The following is a 19,547-nucleotide window of genomic DNA, read 5'->3' on the forward strand; positions in this document are numbered from 1 at the left end:
TGGCAGTAGGAAGGAAAAATAAAAGTGATTGTTTTCCTGTGAGACACTGGGCTGCCCCACAGTATAAATTTCAAAATTATAGCAGCGATTCTGCATTTCTTTTTACACTGTTCCTTTCGTTTATGCCTCCTGCTGCTGCTCCTGTGTGGGTGGACTTCTTTCCCTGTTGGAAACAGGCAAGTGTCGTCCCAGGTTCTAGCTGCCTTGTGGCAGGTGGGGGAAGGGAGAAGGATTTTTTTCCCCTCCTCTCTGCATTCACACTGATGGTGTGAGACAGTGTAAGAAAGATTACCTGACAAGAGCTTATAGGCATTATTGCTTATTAAGTCTTTGAAAAACGTTACTGCTCTCAGTAGCATTATTTTAGAAGACTGGGAAAGGACAGCCTCTGCTCAGCTTTGACAACCTTTTTTTTGTTTTGTTCCACACCACTGGCCTGAATAATGGGGATGATATGGCAACATCTGGTTAGCCCAGTGACTTCTTTCACTTTTGTAATAGAAGTCTGGGCATAAACAGAAAACTAAGGATGTCAAGTTTCTGAGTGTCAAATACCAATTCCCTGTTATAATGATAAGTGATGTATATTGTTGGCATATCCATTCTTTTTCTTGTTTCAAAATGAATACTCTCACCCCATAATGTATAATATGTGGTCTCATTTTTGGTACAGTGTAAGTTCCTTTTGTTTTGTTTTAGAATGTGAGATTTATGTTTCTTTATTAATGTATTTTGAAATTTTTTCTATCAGCTCCACTCCTTCCCACCCTCCCTTCTTTTCCCCCTTTCTTCCTTTCTTGATTCTTTCCACTAACATCTAGAAGGTACTGAAAGGATATTTTGACTAGATTCTTGTTCTGTATATTTTCATTGCCTTTGGACTCTTGTTTTTGGAACAGTGGATTTAGCTTTTTAAAAATAAAAATAAAAATTCAAACTGTATAAAGATGGTGGTTGGGAAATAGTAAAATTTTTACTCTTTACTGTAAGACTAATTTTAAACAATGGAAGTTTACAATTAACATTTTGTGAGTATTTTGATTTATGGTTATTGGGTGAAGATGGCTATGGTAGAGTCACATTTTTTTCCAAAAAGTTAATTATAAACCAATTATAATCAGAGTACAATTTTAAGAATTTTTGCGAGTTATTAGAAGGAGGATTAATTTTCATTGTGATATGATCAGAGGCCTAGGTTATTTTTTTTTAATTTGAAGATAGTGTAATATTTTGGCTACTTATGAAAGAGAAAAGACATGTCACTCAGATCTGTGGGTAGAAAAAACAGATATTCCTTATTCTTACAGTGTGGAAAGTATGAAAATCTTATCTTGGAGTCTTGCAACTTAACCAGTAAGGTAGACTGACCATTCCTTTAAGCTTCATGGCAGTTCAGACTGTAATCCATTTACTATTTTGCATCTCTGTGGAGTGACTGTGGAGGGATGAAATAAAGTTTACCTTGAGTAGCATGTTCAGGGTAGTAATCAGGGTTCATTGTAGGCCAGCCAGAAAGTATCCCTCTCTATTGAGTGGGTATGAATTTTAGACTTGATAACTATATTACCTTCTTTTTTCTCTAGTTTATCTTCTGGAGTTACTTTCTTTGTGAAGTAAGTGTCATTTAACTTGTTTCTTTTGATAAACTGATTTTGCCAAGGTGTTTGTCATAGGCATTGAGTAGAGTGCTTCTATTTTTGGAAGTCTTTACAGAAATTTAGATGTTTCATTCTCCTAGTAACAGTTTCCTTCATTGAATAACTTTATTGATGGTACAGAAAGAGCAGTAGCTTTTTTGAGGAAAGAAGACTCTTGCTATAGGTTAAATTTATGGCCATGAAACTCAAAGCCTAATGCTGCTCAGCAATCATCCTTAGCGCATCCACTCCCTACTTTCCTGGCTCCAAACTCTCCCACTTTGTATATTTTCTGTCCTCAAACCCATAACATGTCCTTTCCTCATCCTAGCTCTAAGCTGATGCCCTTGCTCCTATTTTACTGAAGAAACTGAAGCAGTCAGAAGAGAACCTCCACAGACTCCTACCGTAGTTATCCTCCTCCCAGAATCTGTATTCACTTCATCTGCCTTTTCTGTTGTTACCAGATGAACTATCCACACTGCTCTCAAAGGCCAACCCTCCCATGTGCACCCCCTCTACTGGGTCCGTGCTACTATGCTATTACTTCTCCCATCTAAACAACAAAATGAAACAAAAGAAAACCCCTTAAACAGTCTAAGTTACTCTTCCTTCGAGTTGTTAACCTATTTCTCCGCTCCCTTTTATAGCAAAGTTCCCAGAAAGGTTTTTCTGTAATTCAGTCTCCCATTTCTCCTTTCTCTCTAAAATCTACTCTAATTAAGCTCTCTACCACACTGTGCCACCTAAGCTGCTCCTGTCAAGTTACAGTTACCTCTCCTGCTCCATCCAGTCCAGTTTTCAGGCCTCATTTTACTTAGCAGCTGCATTTGATAGAGTTGATTATGCTGTCTTCTTTGAAACCTATTCTTCACTTGGCTTCCAGGAATCTTATTGTTCTCTTGTCTTAATGGTCCCTCTATTGATTTCTTCTCACCTTCTGAGAAGGTGACACTTAACAGTGGAGTGCCCCAAGGCTCAGTTCCTTAGACCTCTTTTCTATCTATATCCCTTACTTAGTGTTCTCTTCCAGTCTCATGATTCTATGCTGGTGACTCTTTGTATCTCAACCTGGACCTCTGCCCCGAATTCCAAACTCATGTATCCATTTGCCTACTTGGCATCAAATTTTCATGTTTCAACCCTAATGCTGCCCAAACTGAATTCTAAATATTTCCCTCCAGACTGACAGCCCACCATCTTCTCCTTCTCAGTGGCAAGTCTATCCTTCCAGTTGCTGAGGTTAAAACTCTTAGAGCCATTCCTAACTTCCTCCTATTTCTCTGGTCTCATACTTAATGTTAGCAGATACCAGAGGCCGAATCTTTAAAATATATTTAGAATTTGAGCACTTCTTTTCTTCTCCACTGCTGCTACTCTGAAGTTACTTAATCTTTCACCTATTTTATTGCAGTATCTTCCTAATTGATCTCTTTGCTTTCATCCTCGCTCCTTTCCCCTTTAATCTATTCCCAATACAGCAATATTTCAGTCAGTCACGTCTGTTTAAAGCCTTTCAGTAGTTTCCCATTGGCTTGCTCATTCATATTCTTCAAGTATATATTTTAATATCACCTTCTCGATCACTCAATGAAAATGGAATCTTCCCACTCACACAGTATGTCAACCCTGCAATATTTTTCTCCATAGAATGTATCACCTTATCACTTATTTTGTTCATTGTTTTTCTTCTCTTAGGGTATAAGCTCTCTCCCTAGTCCCAGAGTGGTACACATAGTAGGCATTCAATAAATATTTGTTGAGTGAATACAAACTTGGTTTCAAATCAACCTGTCCACTTTCTTTATGAGCCCTGCTTTTAAAATGAACATGAAAATACATAAATATCTTCAGAATTTGTCTTTCATTATGCATGTAACCACCTACATTCTCCCTTTCTTATTGAAGTTTTAATTTTTCCCCACCTCCTTGCTTCAGTTGGAACACACTTCTCCCCCCCAGGACACTGCTTCCCCTGTAACCCTCTCAAGTGGAGGCTACTTATTCTCCCTTGCCCACATACATAGGATCAGGAGGTCGGAACCACAAACTTCTCCATCCACAATGCCTCTTCTAGAACACTACTTCTCCTTTTTCAGAGGGGCAAGGGGCGGGGTGGGGTGAGGAACCACAGCTTTGAGGCTTATTCCATTCAACTAAAGGACTTATACCTTCCTTATTGCAGTCATCTTCTGACCTCCTCATTACCTCTCACATGAATTGAAAATTTAACCCCTGACCCACTCTCTTGCCACCTTCATTCTGGACAGTAGTACTGCTGCTACCATCAGTGTTTACTGATTATTGTGCTCTTAAAATGTACCTACCCCATTACCCCATGCTTACCATTTCAGATAACATTGCCTCATTTAATCCTAACATAAACCATATAAGGCATTCTTTTTTACACATTACAAATGAGGAGACTGAGGCTCCGACTAATTAACTAACTTGTCCATCGTCACATAGCTAGTAAGTAGTGAAGCTGGGATTTGACCCAGGTCTGTTTGACTCCAAGCCAATTAGTTTTTAGCTTTCACAGAGAAATCTCAAACATTCCTTGAACAGTCTTATCTCCTCAATTACTGACTCTTGATATTCTTATAGGTACCTCATACTTACAGTTTTCAAGATGAAATTTATCGTATTCTGTTCAAGGTTACACTTTTGCTTGTGATTAGTACTTATCTAGAGTTGCCCAACCTAGAAACAAGGGAGTCTTATACTCATGTTTAGGCATTTTCAGTGTTCTCTTGATTTTGCCGCTTAAGTAGCTGTTGAATCTGCGAATTCCCTATGTCCTGGCTATAACTCCTCTAGTTTAGAATATTGTCATTTGATGCCTGGATTATTGCAGCAGGTTTGTAACTGGTCTTCTTTCCTCTCATTTTACCATTTCTAGTTCATTCTCTACATTGCAGCAAGAGTTGTCTTTCTAAAGTATACATTTTATTATATTCCTCGCCTTATTTCTTCTGAATTCTTATTACTTTTAAGATGAATTTTACATTGCTTTATATAACTTCAGAGATCTTTATCATCTGGTCTCCTTTGATTCCTCTAGCTGCATTTTGTGCCATTTCGAATTTTGGACTCAGATTCAGCCATTTGTTGATTATAACCATGCTTTTTTCATCTCCAAGGTGGTAATGTGATGGATTTAGGTGATATTCAAGGAGATTCAGTCAATAATGAGACATAATGAACATACAGAATCATTACAATATATATTGCCTATAAAAGTGGTTTTATGACAGAGATCCTAAGAAAAATATTTTAGTAACAGAAATATATACTTTGGAAGACAATAATGAGATTACTTTGAGAAACATTATATGGGTGACTATATTAGCATGCTTCTAATAATATGCTTTGTGAGTATTGTTTACTTTTGTATATCATATTTTATATCAGTGAATACTAGATAAAGGGTAATCAGCAAATGTTTTTTGAATGGATAATCTCTAACTGAAAGTTAATTTCTACTTTTTCCACTAAATATTGATTAGTTAACTGTACAGTCCCGAGTCACCTAACATCAGGGATTCATTCTGAGAACTGCATTGTCAGGCAAGTTCTTTGTTTTGCAAACACCATAGAGTGCACTTCCACAAACCCCGACAGGATAGCCTACTACACACCTAGGCTATATTGTACAGTCTGTTGCTCCTAGTCTACAAAGCTGCACAGTGTGTTACTATACTGTAGGCAGTTGTAACACAATGATAAGTATTTATGTACCTAATCATATCTAAACCTAGAAAAAGTACAGTAAAAATATGGTTTTGTAATCTTATGGCCAGACATTCCTATACTGCCTGGTGTTGGCTGAAATGTCATTAGATGGCGCATGACTGTATTATTCTTATAGTATGTAGATTTCAGTTATTCTAGAGTTATTTTAGAAAATGACTGTGTGACAATATTGAATACTAAGAAAACTGTCAAATTGGGGAATGACTTCAAAATATTTAAAGTGCGTTTGAGTTGTCTTTAAATTTAGATTCATCACACTTACATACTTACGAGTGAGAGTACCTCATATTTTAAGGGAAATGCTTGAGAAATTTACATGATTTTTGAAAAGAATGAGAACACAGTAAGAATTCTCTTGCCTGCTGCTTTCTTGGAAATTTCTATTTGAACAGTCTGTTCAGAGCGATGGGGCAAAGATGAGGATGAGGCTGATTAATCAAAATAGTCTTCCGTCTTCCAACTTTATTTGAAACAGTTTAAGACAGAGTGAGACTCCGTCTCAAAAAAAAAAAAAAAGAAATATGCTTTAATAACCACAATGATGAGATCATTGTTTTTTTGAAGGTGAATTTGATATTTGGAAATATCTTAAAATTCTTTAGACCCAAGTGTTTACTTGGTTTTGAATAAAGTACATAGTCTTGGTATTCTTTTTTTTGACCAAAATGAGATATATTCTTAAACCAATAATTTTTTTGTTGTTGTTCTTGAGACGGAGTCCTGCTCTGTCACCTAGGCTGGAGTGCAAGTGCAGTGGCACGATCTCGGCTCACTGCAACCTTTGCCACCTGGGTTTAAGCGATTCTCCTGCCTCAGCCTCCTGAGTAGCTGGGATTACAGGTGTGTGCCGCACACCTGGCTAATTTTTGTATTTTTAGTACAGATGGGGTTTCAGCATCTTGACCAGGCTGGTCTTGAACTCCTAACCTTGTGATCCACCCGCCTTGGCCTCCCAAAGCACTGGGATTACAGGCGTGAGCCACCACTCCCGGCCAAGACCAATAATTTTTATACAATTCACATGCTATCTCTGATTACCATTCTAAAGAAGAAGTTTCAGACATGTTTTCAGTAGTGGAAGCCTTCCTGGTGTAAAACCATAGCCTCCCATGGTAGCTGTTTTGAAGAGCAATGTTGAATGTATACATTCTAATCTGTTTGTTAGAGGTCAGTGGTATTTACATTTAGGATACCTGTATATTTTGTCTTCCTTTATATTGTTACTATGTGAATATTACGATCTTGTCATATGATTCTTATGTTTCACATAGCTTTCTCACTAAATATTCATAAAACAAACACAAATTTCAAAATTTGATGTTTTTCTTGTCACATTCATATAGAATACATTTAATCATGTCTTCTTTTCCTTTAGTAAATTTCATTCAGTGTTGGGGCACAAGTAAATAGAGGAGGAGGAGTTTCTAGTACAGTTATGATAGGTGTCCCTTAGGGGGTCAGGGGAGTACCTGGAATTAATTTAATTTTAGAACCAATAAATGGAATGATAAATCAGATTACCTGGAGTGAGTGAGCAAAAATTAGAAAAGAATGCTGAGGATGATACCCTGTGGTGTACCAGCATTTATGGAGAGGAATATATAGCGGACCTGGAAGGAAACAGAAGGACATAGCTTAGCATGGTGGGTTAGAGCATGAGCTCTGAAGTCATATTGGCTGGGATCAGTTCTTAGTCCCTCACTTCCTAGCTGTGTGATGGTGAGGGGAAGTTGTTTAGCATCTGTAAACCTCAGTTTTCTTATTAGTAAATGAGATGAATCAAGTTTTTACCTCATCAAGTTGATATGGAGCTTTCAGTATGATGCTTGACACATAGTTAGCATTCATTAAATGTTAGCAAAAATGATGATGATGACTGCAATGACAACAAGCTGCCAATAATTGTCTTGGCCCACATTTCTCTACCCATTGTTTTCTTCCATATCGTATCTTTTATTACATCTTTATTACCTATTTTCTGCCTAGATGGCTTCTCCTTTAGCCTTGTTTTTACCAGTAAATGGCAGCACTATTCATCTGTGTGCTTCAGCCAAAAATCTCAATCATCCTTGATTTCTCTCTCTCCCTCACTCCTCATATTCAATTAATTGGCAAGTTTTTGACTCCATCTCAAATTATATTCTTATTACATCTACTGTCCTCATCTCTCTAACTCCTCAGGCCACACCTACTACCTCCTGTCCAGTCTCCCTGCTTCCATTCTTGCTCTACTCATCCTCCTTCCCAGTTCTCCATGCAGCATCATGAGTTATTTTTGTAAAATGTGTATCAGAACACAGTATGGTGCTACCTTGCTGAAAACCCAGACCCCCTTACTCCTTACTCTTGCTGTCAAAGTGTAATATGATTTTCTCAGTGCTTACCTCTTTTTCTTTCTTTTTCTTTTTTTTTTTTTTGAGATAAGGTCTCACTCTGACACCCAGGCTGAAATGCCGTGGCGTGATCTCAGCTCACTTTTTTTTTTTTTTTTTGAGACAGAGTTTCGCTCTGTTGCCCAGGCTGGAGTGCAGTGGCTCACTGCAAGCTCCACCTCCCGGGTTCAGGCCATTCTCCTGCCTCAGCCTCCCGAGTAGCTGTGACCACAGGCGTGCGCTACTACACCCTGCTAGTTTTTTTGTATTTTTAGTACGGACGGGGTTTCACTGTGTTAGCCAGGATGGTCTCGATCTCCTGACCTCGTGATCCACCCGCCTCGGCCCCACAAAGTGCTGGGATTACAGGCGTGAGCCACCGTGCCTGGCCAATCTCAGCTCACTTTTTGTATTTTATTTTTAGTTTTTATATTTTTAATTTTTTTTTTTGTATTTAATTTTTTTTTTTTTAAGTAGAGATGGGTTTTTGCCATGTGCCATGTTTTCCAGGGTGGTCTTGAACTTCCGAGCTCAAGTGATCCGCCTGCCTTGGCCTCCCAAAGTGCTGGGAGTGTAGGCATGAGCCACCTCGCCAGAGTGCTCAGTGCTTACCTCTTTAACCTCATTTCTAACCATGGTCTCCCTTGCTCACCGTACTCCAGCCACAGTGTCCTTTCCGCTGGTCCTTGAACACATCGAGTTCATTTCTTCCTTAAGACATTTTCTCCAGATGTTTTTCTCTGCTATGGCTTCTTTCCTTTCTTTTCATTTTTTAGTCTCTGTGTAAATGTTACATCCTCAGCAAGATCATCCCTAAATTAACCAACCTAAAATAACTATCCACTGGTTTTCTGTCACATTCTATATCACATCACTTACTTTGTTTTTCTGCATAGTGCTTCAGTATGCAGAATAAATATTAGATATTATTATGTATTTGTTTATTGCCTGTTTAGTGTCTTTGTGCTATATCCTCCCCCAGTAATATTTGTGGAATAAATGAATAAATTTTTAACAACTGCTTTTTACTCTGTCTCTGTCTTTCAGTAAAAGGCTTTTTCTCTCCATATTTAACTTTGCCAGGTGTAGCTGGTAGTGCTCATAGGGAAGTAGGGGAGATGGGAGTATCTTTGACGTTAATTAATTATCTTGCTCATGATAACATAGGAGAGATAATCAGTATTTTTGGTTACATCATTTGGATGTAGTAATTATTATGCTGGTAATTTAACTAATGATAATTAAATGCTACATATGCCAGGGTCTTATAAATGTTTAATTAGATAACTGCTTATATTTGGTCACTCATTTTTCTTACACAATAGTAAAATTTCCTCCTTTGATAAAAGGCCGGTTTTAATGATTAATGGCATATTGTCTAAACTGATGTAAGTCTCTGACACTTAACGAAACTTTAGGAATAGGTTACATTTGACATTTGACATAGTTAAAAAATTTAGGGAGATAATTTTTCAAATAGGAAGAAACACGAATAATTAGGTCTTGGTGGCACATATGGTGTTTTTTTGTTTATTTGCCTTTTTTGGTTTCCAGTGAAGTCTGTAGAAAATATGACAGGAGGTCTATAGAATACATGATAGAAAGGATATTCTGGTTTGTGTAATTTGTAGGTGGGTAACACCTTTTTAAAGATAAAAGATAATAGCATGAGCTTTATTGCTAAATAAAATTTGAAAGATATTTTAAAGTTTTGTTTTAAATTTTGGAGAAATCCAACAATATTAATATAAAATGTAAGGTAGTTTATTTAAAATAATTAAGTGGCACAGGAAAATCAGTAAGAGATGAATTTTCAATAACAATGAAAACCTTATTAATGGTGTTAATTACTGTAATTAATACTGGCTTGTATATTAAATCATTGATAACAATACCTCAAGGAATTATCAGTACATAATTTTCTCTCTGGGGAGACTATTGAGTTCATGCTGTGACTCTTCTAATTTCCCCAGAGAGGATTATCATCATAATGTTATCCTGAATTATCTTATTGCTCAGTAAGTGTCCTTGCCTTCAAATTTAAAGCAAATTAAGAAATTAATTTAGTCCTGGGAAGTTATTGTTTAAGGAGTCTGCACCTGTGAAAATATGAACCCGTGGCAAACAGAAGGAATTTTATTTTCAAATGAAAAGTATCTATGTGAAGGAAGCTCAGTAAACACAGACTGATACGTAGAAGTTAATCCCAATTAGTTAGTAAGATCTCGTGTTAATGTGATTAGAGTGTATTCACATCAAAAAAATGTTTGTTAATAAGAACCCAGAACAGTATACTGATTCTCTACTAGATTCTACTTAGAGCTGGTAGATAATTATAGTCATGCCCTTTGTATTTTGGGCCTTTTACATTCATTTAGTTCTTTCGAATACATTCACTGAGTTAGTATTTATTCTCTACTTCATGGCATTTTGATAAAAAGCTGAAAAAAAAAACCCCCACTTTGGTCTCTACCTTTGAGAAACTCAGTGTGTCTGGAAGGAGAAATGTATATACATAATTGACCCTGGAACAACAAGAGAGTAGTTTGTGCAGCTGAAAACCTGTATATAACTTTTGACTCCCTAAAAGCTTAACTATAAATAGCCTACTGTTGACTAGAAGCCTTACTGATAACAGAAAGTCAATTAACACATGCTTTGTATGTTTTGTGTATTATATAATGTGTTCTTACAATAAAATAAACTACAGAAAAGGAAATGTTAATAAGAAAATCATAAGGAAGAAAAATGATATTTAATATTCATTAAGTGGAAAGTAGATCTTCATCTTTATCCTCATTGTCTTTGCATTGGGTAGGCAGAGGAGAAGGAGAAAGAGAAGGAGTTTCTTGCTGTCTCATGGAAGGGAGAAGTAGAAGAAAATCTACATATAAGTGGATCTGCACAGTTCAAACTTGTGTTGTTCAAGAGTCAATTGTATAAACGAGTAATTAAAAGCCTGTGTGATCCAGGACCCAACATGGTGCCTGCGTTTGTATGCCTCTTTATAGAGTTGAATGACTACTGTCAATTGCTACAGAAATAGAGGTAGAAGCCAGTAAAGCTGCCTGAGCGAGCTGAAGATGATTCCTTAGAAGAGCTGACATGGAACTGAATCCCAAAGATGAGCTGTGGTTTGCTGGGTATGAAAAAGGAAGTTATTCAGAAGGCATGGGAATAAGCAAGTGCAATGCCATGGGCATGAGGCCAAAGTTCACAGTGCACTTGGGAAATACATGGTGCAGCTGATGGAGGGGGCCATAGCGAGGTGCAAAATTGACTTGAAAAGCCTTCTGTCATAGATAAGGCATCATTATCCTCATTTGATAGTGGAAGAAACAAAGTGGGTTTTTACTTCCATAAAAGTTGAAGGTCCTCTAAGTGACTCACCTCAAATCTAAAAGCCATTTTGTGCAGCTTAGAAAAAAAAAACCTGGGTCATTAAGGAACTTCAAGAAACTGAGACTCAGTTTACACTCCAAATTAAGAACAGCGAAACATCAGTTTAAGTGATTTTATTTGGTTTATATTTCATATTGATTTGAATCTCAGTATTTTGCTGAGTTATTTTATTCCCAGTAACTTAAAACATATGGGACATAGAACATCATTCAACAAAGAGAATATAGCTATTTCCTAAAAATAGTTCTTTACTTGAGTGGGAACCCGTTTGATGATACCATTTTTTATTTAAAGCACCTAATGTAATGCTACCTACAGTGGAATGTAACTCAGCAAAATGAAGTATGGCATTGAAAACAATATACTATAATCGCTACCGAAGTATATAGATATATTACCTGCCTGATGATCTCCTAAAGGAGACCTCCTCTTATACAAGCTTATTTTTATACAAATTGCAGTGTGGCAAAGAGACCCAAGGGTAGTTGGAGATGTGCAGCTATGCTCCTTCTCATGTCAGCTCTCCACATCTACACTGGGTGACAGGACATGGGAGCAGATGAGACAAGCTGTCACTCACCCACACTGCCCTTTGAAGAAAGGCCATGGGGGGAAAAAGGTGCCGCAAATGGGCTGTGAAGTTTACATACACTGCCCACTGTTAAACAGATTACGTCTAATGAAGTGTCTAATGCTCAGGCCATATCAACCTAATCCTTGGTGGCAGTTCATCCCTCAACTGCCAAAAAACACCGCCCTCTGGCCCTCTTTCGCCACTCTGGCGGCCAAGCACAGGGAGGTGCCCAGTCTTAATAAACCAAGACAGTGTGTGATCTGACATGCAAATGTAGGTCATTGCATATGTAAATGTGTGATTACAAACCTGCATGCCAAAACACATTAGTAAGACTTTGCTCTCAGCATGCGGTTGTCACACTGCCTTAGCAGTTCACGCTAATATTTGTCAAGTTATTGTGCAGACAGAAGATGGAATTCCCAGTCAAATTTAAAGTATCTGAATTGTTTGATAGTGTTCCTAATGATGAAGCTGTATTTTGCTGTTGAGATTGACAAATCTTCATTAAGTGAAAGAATGGTCTCCGTGTATGGGAGAAGGATTTATACTTATTAGATGACACAGACTATTCCAGTGCATCAATATAAACAATTCTTAGGAAATCATAGACAATTTAAAACATGTTTCCTTTTTAAACAAAACCTTTATTTAAAGTTAAAAACGTAAAAAATTGCCAAATATCCATTGGCTATATCTGAGAAGTGGTACTTTGTGAGTTTCTTTGTTACATATATATCATTTTGTCACATTGACACTTAATTGTAAATTCAATGGCTATGAAAAGAAATCCATTTACAAATGAACATCATGGCAAGTTATCTCCCTTTATTTCATAATTTTATTTTCATTCTATGTTTCTTATTGTGGAATACTTTTTCATCTTCATTTTAAACATGTTTCTATTCCATTTTTGTCTTTATTTTATTTTTTTAGTCAAAAGACTTAACATTGAAAATATCTGTGGATCATCATGTAGGGTCCCATAATGTTGGGTCATACATAAGGTGACTTTGCTTAATAACCTGGCAGTGTGGCATAGGCTATACTTGGGAATCAACTAGACATTCACTTGGTTTGATGACATCTACATGATGGGATTGGTGAGAGAATTGAATTTGATGGCATTTAAAGTCCTGATATACAGTGCCTGTTAAGTTGTGGGGACGAAAATGGGACCTTCTATCATTGTTGTAGTAATTATAAGAATTATCTTATGGACCTATACTTATGAAATGAATTTGCGAAATTTGAAAAATTTCTTGTACTCTGGTTATTTTGCATATTTTAAAGGAAGCATGATCTTTTTCTTGACAGTATTTTGGACTTCTAGAAGAAGAAAACAATGTACAATAACAAATTATTGCTTCTTTTTTTTTTAAGAGAAAACATTGGGTTTGAATTATAGTGACTCTTTGGCAGAATTTTACAGTTAGATGTAGTGAATTTTACATGATAGATGTAGTAAAATTAAAAGATAAAATGTACTAAGGGTTAATGCAAAGTGTTGCCCGTATATCAAAATAGCCTTTCTGCGTAAGTCTAGGATATGGGATCATCAGCCTTATCAAAGGTTTCTTTGAAAGACTAAGAGTTTAAGCTGAATGTAATGTGCTCATGAACCAGTGCCATCTTTGCATTAATAGGTCTTTAATATTCAGTTTCATTAGAGGGTGCACTAGCCTGGCCCCACAAGAATGTCATGTTTGGCTTGGAGAGTACAGAGGGGGTGTGAGGAGAATGGTAAAAGGCACGGAAGAGTGTGCTCATCAGTACTCCAGGAATCTTGAAAAGGCTCAGGCATGCCTAGCCGAAAAAGAGAAGATATGAGGGCATGTGATAGTTTTAAATAGGCTTTTTTTGTTATATTTTAAACAGCTAGAGATGCTAAAATGAATGCCATCAGGAATGTAAAAGGTGATATTCCAACTTTAGCAATAGACAGTGTCTGACTGTAGTAGATGTTCAGGTAGTGTTTACCCCATAACTGAAGATTGAATGAATAAGTCCATGAACAAAAAGTGAATAAAAGAACTAGGACAATCAGTAAAATTTATAACCTGAATTTAGTCTCAAAATAGGGATGGCCCCTGCCCCCAATATCTTATAATTATTTCTCTCATAGCACAGTGAAGAGCCTCTTCTATGTATTTGGGTAAGCCGTTTGAGAGCAGAAAGCATATCTCATTCATCTCTATTTCCCTAGCAGCCAGCATAGTGCCTGGCACATGGTAAATATCAAAAAATGTTATTTAATGATGCGGTAGTAAACTTCTTGACACTGGACATATTCTTTGCAGAAGTTAAATAACTGTCAGGAAGTTAACAGGTGTTTCATGCATTAGTTGACAGTTTGGACTAAATGATTATGTATTTTTGTAAGGTCCATTTCAACTCAAAGATCTTTTCAAAAGAAAAGAAATAGCAGAGAAATACTAGATTGGGTGGGACAAGTTTATATTCTGTGAACTAAAGACAAGTTATAAGGAGTTCTTTTTTTGTGTGTGTGGGTTCTGCAATTGCTTTTATTTTATTTTATTTTATTATTATTATACTATTATACTTTAAGTTTTAGGGTACATGTGCACAATGTGCAGGTTAGTTACATATGTATACATGTGCCATGCTGGTGTGCTGCACCCATTAACACGTCATTTAGCATTAGGTATATCTCCTAAAGCTATCCCTCCCCCCTCCCCCCACCCCACAACAGTCCCCAGAGTGTGATGTTCCCCTTCCTGTGTCCATGTGTTCTCATTGTTCAATTCCTACCTGTGAGTGAGAATATGCGGTGTTTGGTTTTTTGTTCTTGCGATAGTTTACTGAGAATGATGATTTCCAGTTTCATCCATGTCCCTACAAAGGACATGAACTCATCATTTTTTATGGCTACATAGTATTCCATGGCGTATATGTGCCACATTTTCTTAATCCAGTCTATCATTGTTGGACATTTGGGTTGGTTCCAAGTCTTTGCTGTTGGGAATAGTGCTGCAATAAACATATGTGTGCATGTGTCTTTATAGCAGCATGATTTATAGTCCTTTGGGTATATACCCAGTAATGGGATGGCTGGGTCAAATGGTATTTCTAGTTCTAGATCCCTGAGGAATCGCCACACTGACTTCCACAATGGTTGAACTAGTTTATAGTCCCACCAACAGTGTAAAAGTGTTCCTATTTCTCCACATCCTCTCCAGCATCTGTTGTTTCCTTTTTTATGGTTGCCATTCTAACTGGTGTGAGATGGTATCTCATAGTGGTTTTGATTTGCATTTCTCTGATGGCCAGTGATGGTGAGCATTTTTTCATGTGTTTTTTGGCTGCATAAATGTCTTCTTTTGAGAAGTGTCTGTTCATGTCCTTCACCCACTTTTTGATGGGGTTGTTTGTTTTTTTCTTGTAAATTTGTTTGAGTTCATTGTAGATTCTGGATATTAGCCCTTTGTCAGATGAGTGGGTTGCGAAAATTTTCTCCCATTTTGTAGGTTGCCTGTTCACTGATGGTAGTTTCTTTTGCTGTGCTCTTTAGTTTAATTAGATCCCATTTGTCAATTTTGGCTTTTGTTGCCATTGCTTTTGGTGTTTTAGACATGAAGTCCTTGCCCATGCCTATGTCCTGAATGGTAACGCCTAGGTTTTCTTCTAGGCTTTTTATGGTTTTAGGTCTAACGTTTAAGTCTTTAATCCATCTTGAATTGATTTTTGTATAAGGTGTAAGGAAGGGATCCAGTTTCAGCTTTCTACATATGGCTAGCCAGTTTTCCCAGCACCGTTTATTAAATAGGGAATGCTTTCCCCATTGCTTGTTTTTCTCAGGTTTGTCAAAGATCAGATAGTTGTAGATATGTGGCATTATTTCTGAGGGCTCTGTTCTGTTCCATTGGTCTATATCTCTGTTTTGGTACCAGTACCATGCTGTTTTGGTTACTGTAGCCTTGTAGTATAGTTTGAAGTCAGGTAGTGTGATGCCTCCAGCTTTGTTCTTTTGGCTTAGAATTGACTTGGCGATGCGGGCTCTTTTTTGGTTCCATATGAACTTTAAAGCAGTTTTTTCCAATTCTGTGAAGAAAGTCATTGGTAGCTTGATGGGAACGGCATTGAATCTATAAATTACCTTGGGCAGTATGGCCATTTTCACGATATTGATTCTTCCTACCCATGAGCATGGAATGTTCTTCCATTTGTTTGTATCCTCTTTTATTTCCTTGAGCAGTGGTTTGTAGTTCTCCTTGAAGAGGTCCTTCACATCCCTTGTAAGTTGGATTCCTAGGTATTTTATTCTCTTTGAAGCAATTGTGAATGGGAGTTCACTCATGATTTGGCTCTCTGTTTGTCTGTTATTGGTGTATAAGAATGCTTGTGATTTTTGTACATTGATTTTGTATCCTGAGACTTTGCTGAAGTTGCTTATCAGCTTAAGGAGATTTTGGGCTGAGACAATGGGGTTTTCTAGATATACAATCATGTCATCTGCAAACAGGGACAATTTGACTTCCTCTTTTCCTAATTGAATACCCTTTATTTCCTTCTCCTGCCTAATTGCCCTGGCCAGTGCTTCCAACACTATGTTGAATATGAGTGGTGAGAGTGGGCATCCCTGTCTTGTGCCCGTTTTCAAAGGGAATGCTTCCAGTTTTTGCCCATTCAGTATGATATTGGCTGTGGGTTTGTCATAGATAGCTCTTATTATTTTGAGATATGTCCCATCAATACCAATTTATTGAGAGTTTTTAGCATGAAGCGTTGTTGAATTTTGTCAAAGGCCTTTTCTGCATCTATTGAGATAATCATGTGGTTTTTGTCTTTGGTTCTGTTTATATGCTGGATTACATTGATTTGCGTATACTGAACCAGCCTTGCATCCCAGTGATGAAGCCCACTTGATCATGGTGGATAAGCTTTTTGATGTGCTGCTGGATTCGGTTTGTCAGTATTTTATTGAGGATTTTTGCATCAATGTTCATCAAGGATATTGGTCTAAAATTCTCTTTTTTGGTTGTGTCTCTGCCCGGCTTTGGTATCAGGATGATGCTGGCCTCATAAAATGAGTTAGGGAGGATTCTCTCTTTTTCTGTTGATTGGAATAGTTTCAGAAGGAATGGTACCAGTTCCTCCTTATACCTCTGGTAGAATTCGGCTGTAAATCCATCTGGTCCTGGACTCTTTTTGGTTGGTAAGCTATTGATTATTGCCACAATTTCAGAGCTGTTATTGGTTTATTCAGAGATTCAACTTCTTCCTGGTTTAGTCTTGGGAGGGTGTATGTGTCAAGGAATTTATCCATTTCTTCTAGATTTTCTAGTTTATTTGCGTAGAGGTGTTTGTAGTATTCTCTGATGGTAGTTTGTATTTCTGTGGGATCGGTGGTGATATCCCCTTTATCATTTTTTATTGCGTCTATTTGATTCTTCTCTCTTTTCTTCTTTATTAGTCTTGCTAGCAGTCTATCAATTTTGTTGATCCTTTCAAAAAACCAGCTCCTGGATTCATTAATTTTTTGAAGGGTTTTTGTGTCTCTATTTCCTTCAGTTCTGCTCTGATTTTAGTTATTTCTTGCCTTGTGCTAGCTTTGGAATGTGTTTGCTTTTGCTTTTCTAGTTCTTTTAATTGTGATGTTAAGGTGTCAGTTTTGGATCTTTCCTGGTTTCTCTTGTGGGCATTTAGTGCTATAAATTGCCCTCTACACACTGCTTTGAATGTGTCCCAGAGATTCTGGTACGTTGTGTCTTTGTTCTCGTTGGTTTCAAAGAACATCTTTATTTCTGCCTTCATTTCGTTATGTACCCAGTAGTCATTCAGGAGCAGGTTGTTCAGTTTCCACACAGTTGAGCGGTTTTGAGTGAGTTTCTTAATCCTGAGTTCTAGTTTGATTGCCCTGTGGTCTGAGAGACAGTTTGTTATAATTTCTGATCTTTTACATTTGTTGAGGAGAGCTTTACTTCCACCTATGTGGTCAATTTTGGAATAGGTGTGGTGTGGTGCTGAAAAAAATGTATATTCTGTTGATTTAGGTTGGAGAGTTCTGTAGATGTCTATTAGGTCTGCTTGGTGCAGAGCTGAGTTCAATTCCTGGGTATCCTTTGCAAGGAGTTCTTATCTAAAAGTTCAGACTCTTCATCCCTATGTTGTATCCTTCTTCCTTAATTAACTTCCTTTTTAGGCTTTCCTATCTCACATACTATATATATATATATATATATATATATATATATATATATAAAAAGTACATATATACACATATATATGTATGTTTATATATTTATTAAAACATGTATATGTATGTTTTATATATTAAAACATATATGTATGTTTATATATTAAAACATATGTATGTTTATGTATTAAAACATGTATGTATGTTTACATATTTATTAAAACATGTATGTATGTTTTATATATTTATTAAAACACACATATATATATATGTATGTTTTAATGTATTCCTTGTTTATTCCCCTCACTAGAATGTAAGTTCCTCAGGTACAGGGATTATTGTCTCTCTAGTCTGCTACTGTATCGTCAGTGTGTAGGACAGTGCCTGGCATAAGTTCAGTAAATATTTGTTGTTGAGTGAATGGATGTCTGCAAACTTACCCTATGTGTCACCTACATATATGAAAATGATCAGTGATTGTGTGTATTGCGTGTATATTGTGTGATTGAAAATTTTTCTGACATTTTTAATTACAGAAGGCCTTACGACCGGATATGGGCTATAATACATTAGCCAACTTTCGAATAGAAAAGAAAATTGGTCGCGGACAATTTAGTGAAGTTTATAGAGCAGCCTGTCTCTTGGATGGAGTACCAGTAGCTTTAAAAAAAGTGCAGGTAAGATGACTTTAATTATATAAATCAATGTAAAATTATACTATGTGAATTATAGATGAGAAAAGTATATCCTGAATGATTGGGTACTGATAGCCTTAAGTTGAGAATGCTGGGAAAGATTGAACGTTGTATTTTAAAAGCCAGAAACAAGTGTAGTATGGAGTGGAAATATTAGTTTTAACACTATTTCTAGGCTTTAAAAATTTAGCTCGTATTGAACCTCAAAAAGCTTTCACAACTCTAGATTTTAAGAGGCAGATTTGAGTCATCACCATTACTTCTACCTGGACATTTAACTAGATGTTGAATACTCACTGAAGTTCTACAGCTATAGGCACTGTAGTCAGAAACTAGAGTCACAAAATGTACTGCCCGAAGTTAGTAAATGGCAGTTAAACTATACCAGCAAAAAAATGAAAGGAAAATGAAGTGAACTTTATTTACTTGGAAATAAAAACGAGGCAGATAAAATTAGAACATTGATACCTAACTTTAAAATCTCTTATTGTATTTGTGTCATTCTGGAATCAGATTTGCTCTCTAATCCAGACCCTTTCCTGTCTTCTCGAATTCATTTATCTTGCTCCAGCTCCTCTTTCCAAGTCCTGCCCTAACCCTGGAGTTGCAGTCCAACTGAGCTACCCTGGAATGCTCACTTGCCAGAGCCCTGAGTGTTTCACTTGCCCTAATGAGGTCCTCTGGCCTAGAAAGTACTTGTCTTTCTGCCTTCCAGTGTGTATGACATCAAACAGTAAATCACACAGTGAATCATACACTTTTACTTCCCTTTTTCAATTATGGTAATAGTTATTCTTCACCTGTGCTACAGACTATTTTGCTTTGCAACTCTTTTATCTTTTTTCTGCAGATACCTGTGAAATCTAAATGTCTTTTTTTTTTTAAACTTCTTAAGATGATTAGTATACTTGTGACAGCCAATATAGAGATGAACAGTTTTAATTTACATTTAAA

At 36.8% G+C, this 19,547-nt stretch overlaps 1 protein-coding gene across 17 annotated transcripts in view; it reads left to right on the top strand.

Annotated features, from left to right (window-relative positions):
• Positions 1 to 19,547, top strand: part of NEK7 (NIMA related kinase 7) — a 165,423-nt gene that overhangs the window by 77,608 nt on the left and 68,268 nt on the right. For all 17 annotated transcript variants that reach the window (XM_047446560.1, XM_047446563.1, XM_047446572.1 and 14 more), the window contains one exon: positions 18,435 to 18,575. In XM_047446560.1, coding sequence (XP_047302516.1) covers positions 18,435 to 18,575 — 141 coding nt within the window. The remainder of the gene's footprint in view (positions 1 to 18,434; positions 18,576 to 19,547) is intronic.

This window comes from Homo sapiens, chromosome 1 (assembly GCF_000001405.40).
Source record: "Homo sapiens chromosome 1, GRCh38.p14 Primary Assembly".
Lineage (NCBI taxonomy): Eukaryota > Metazoa > Chordata > Mammalia > Primates > Hominidae > Homo > Homo sapiens.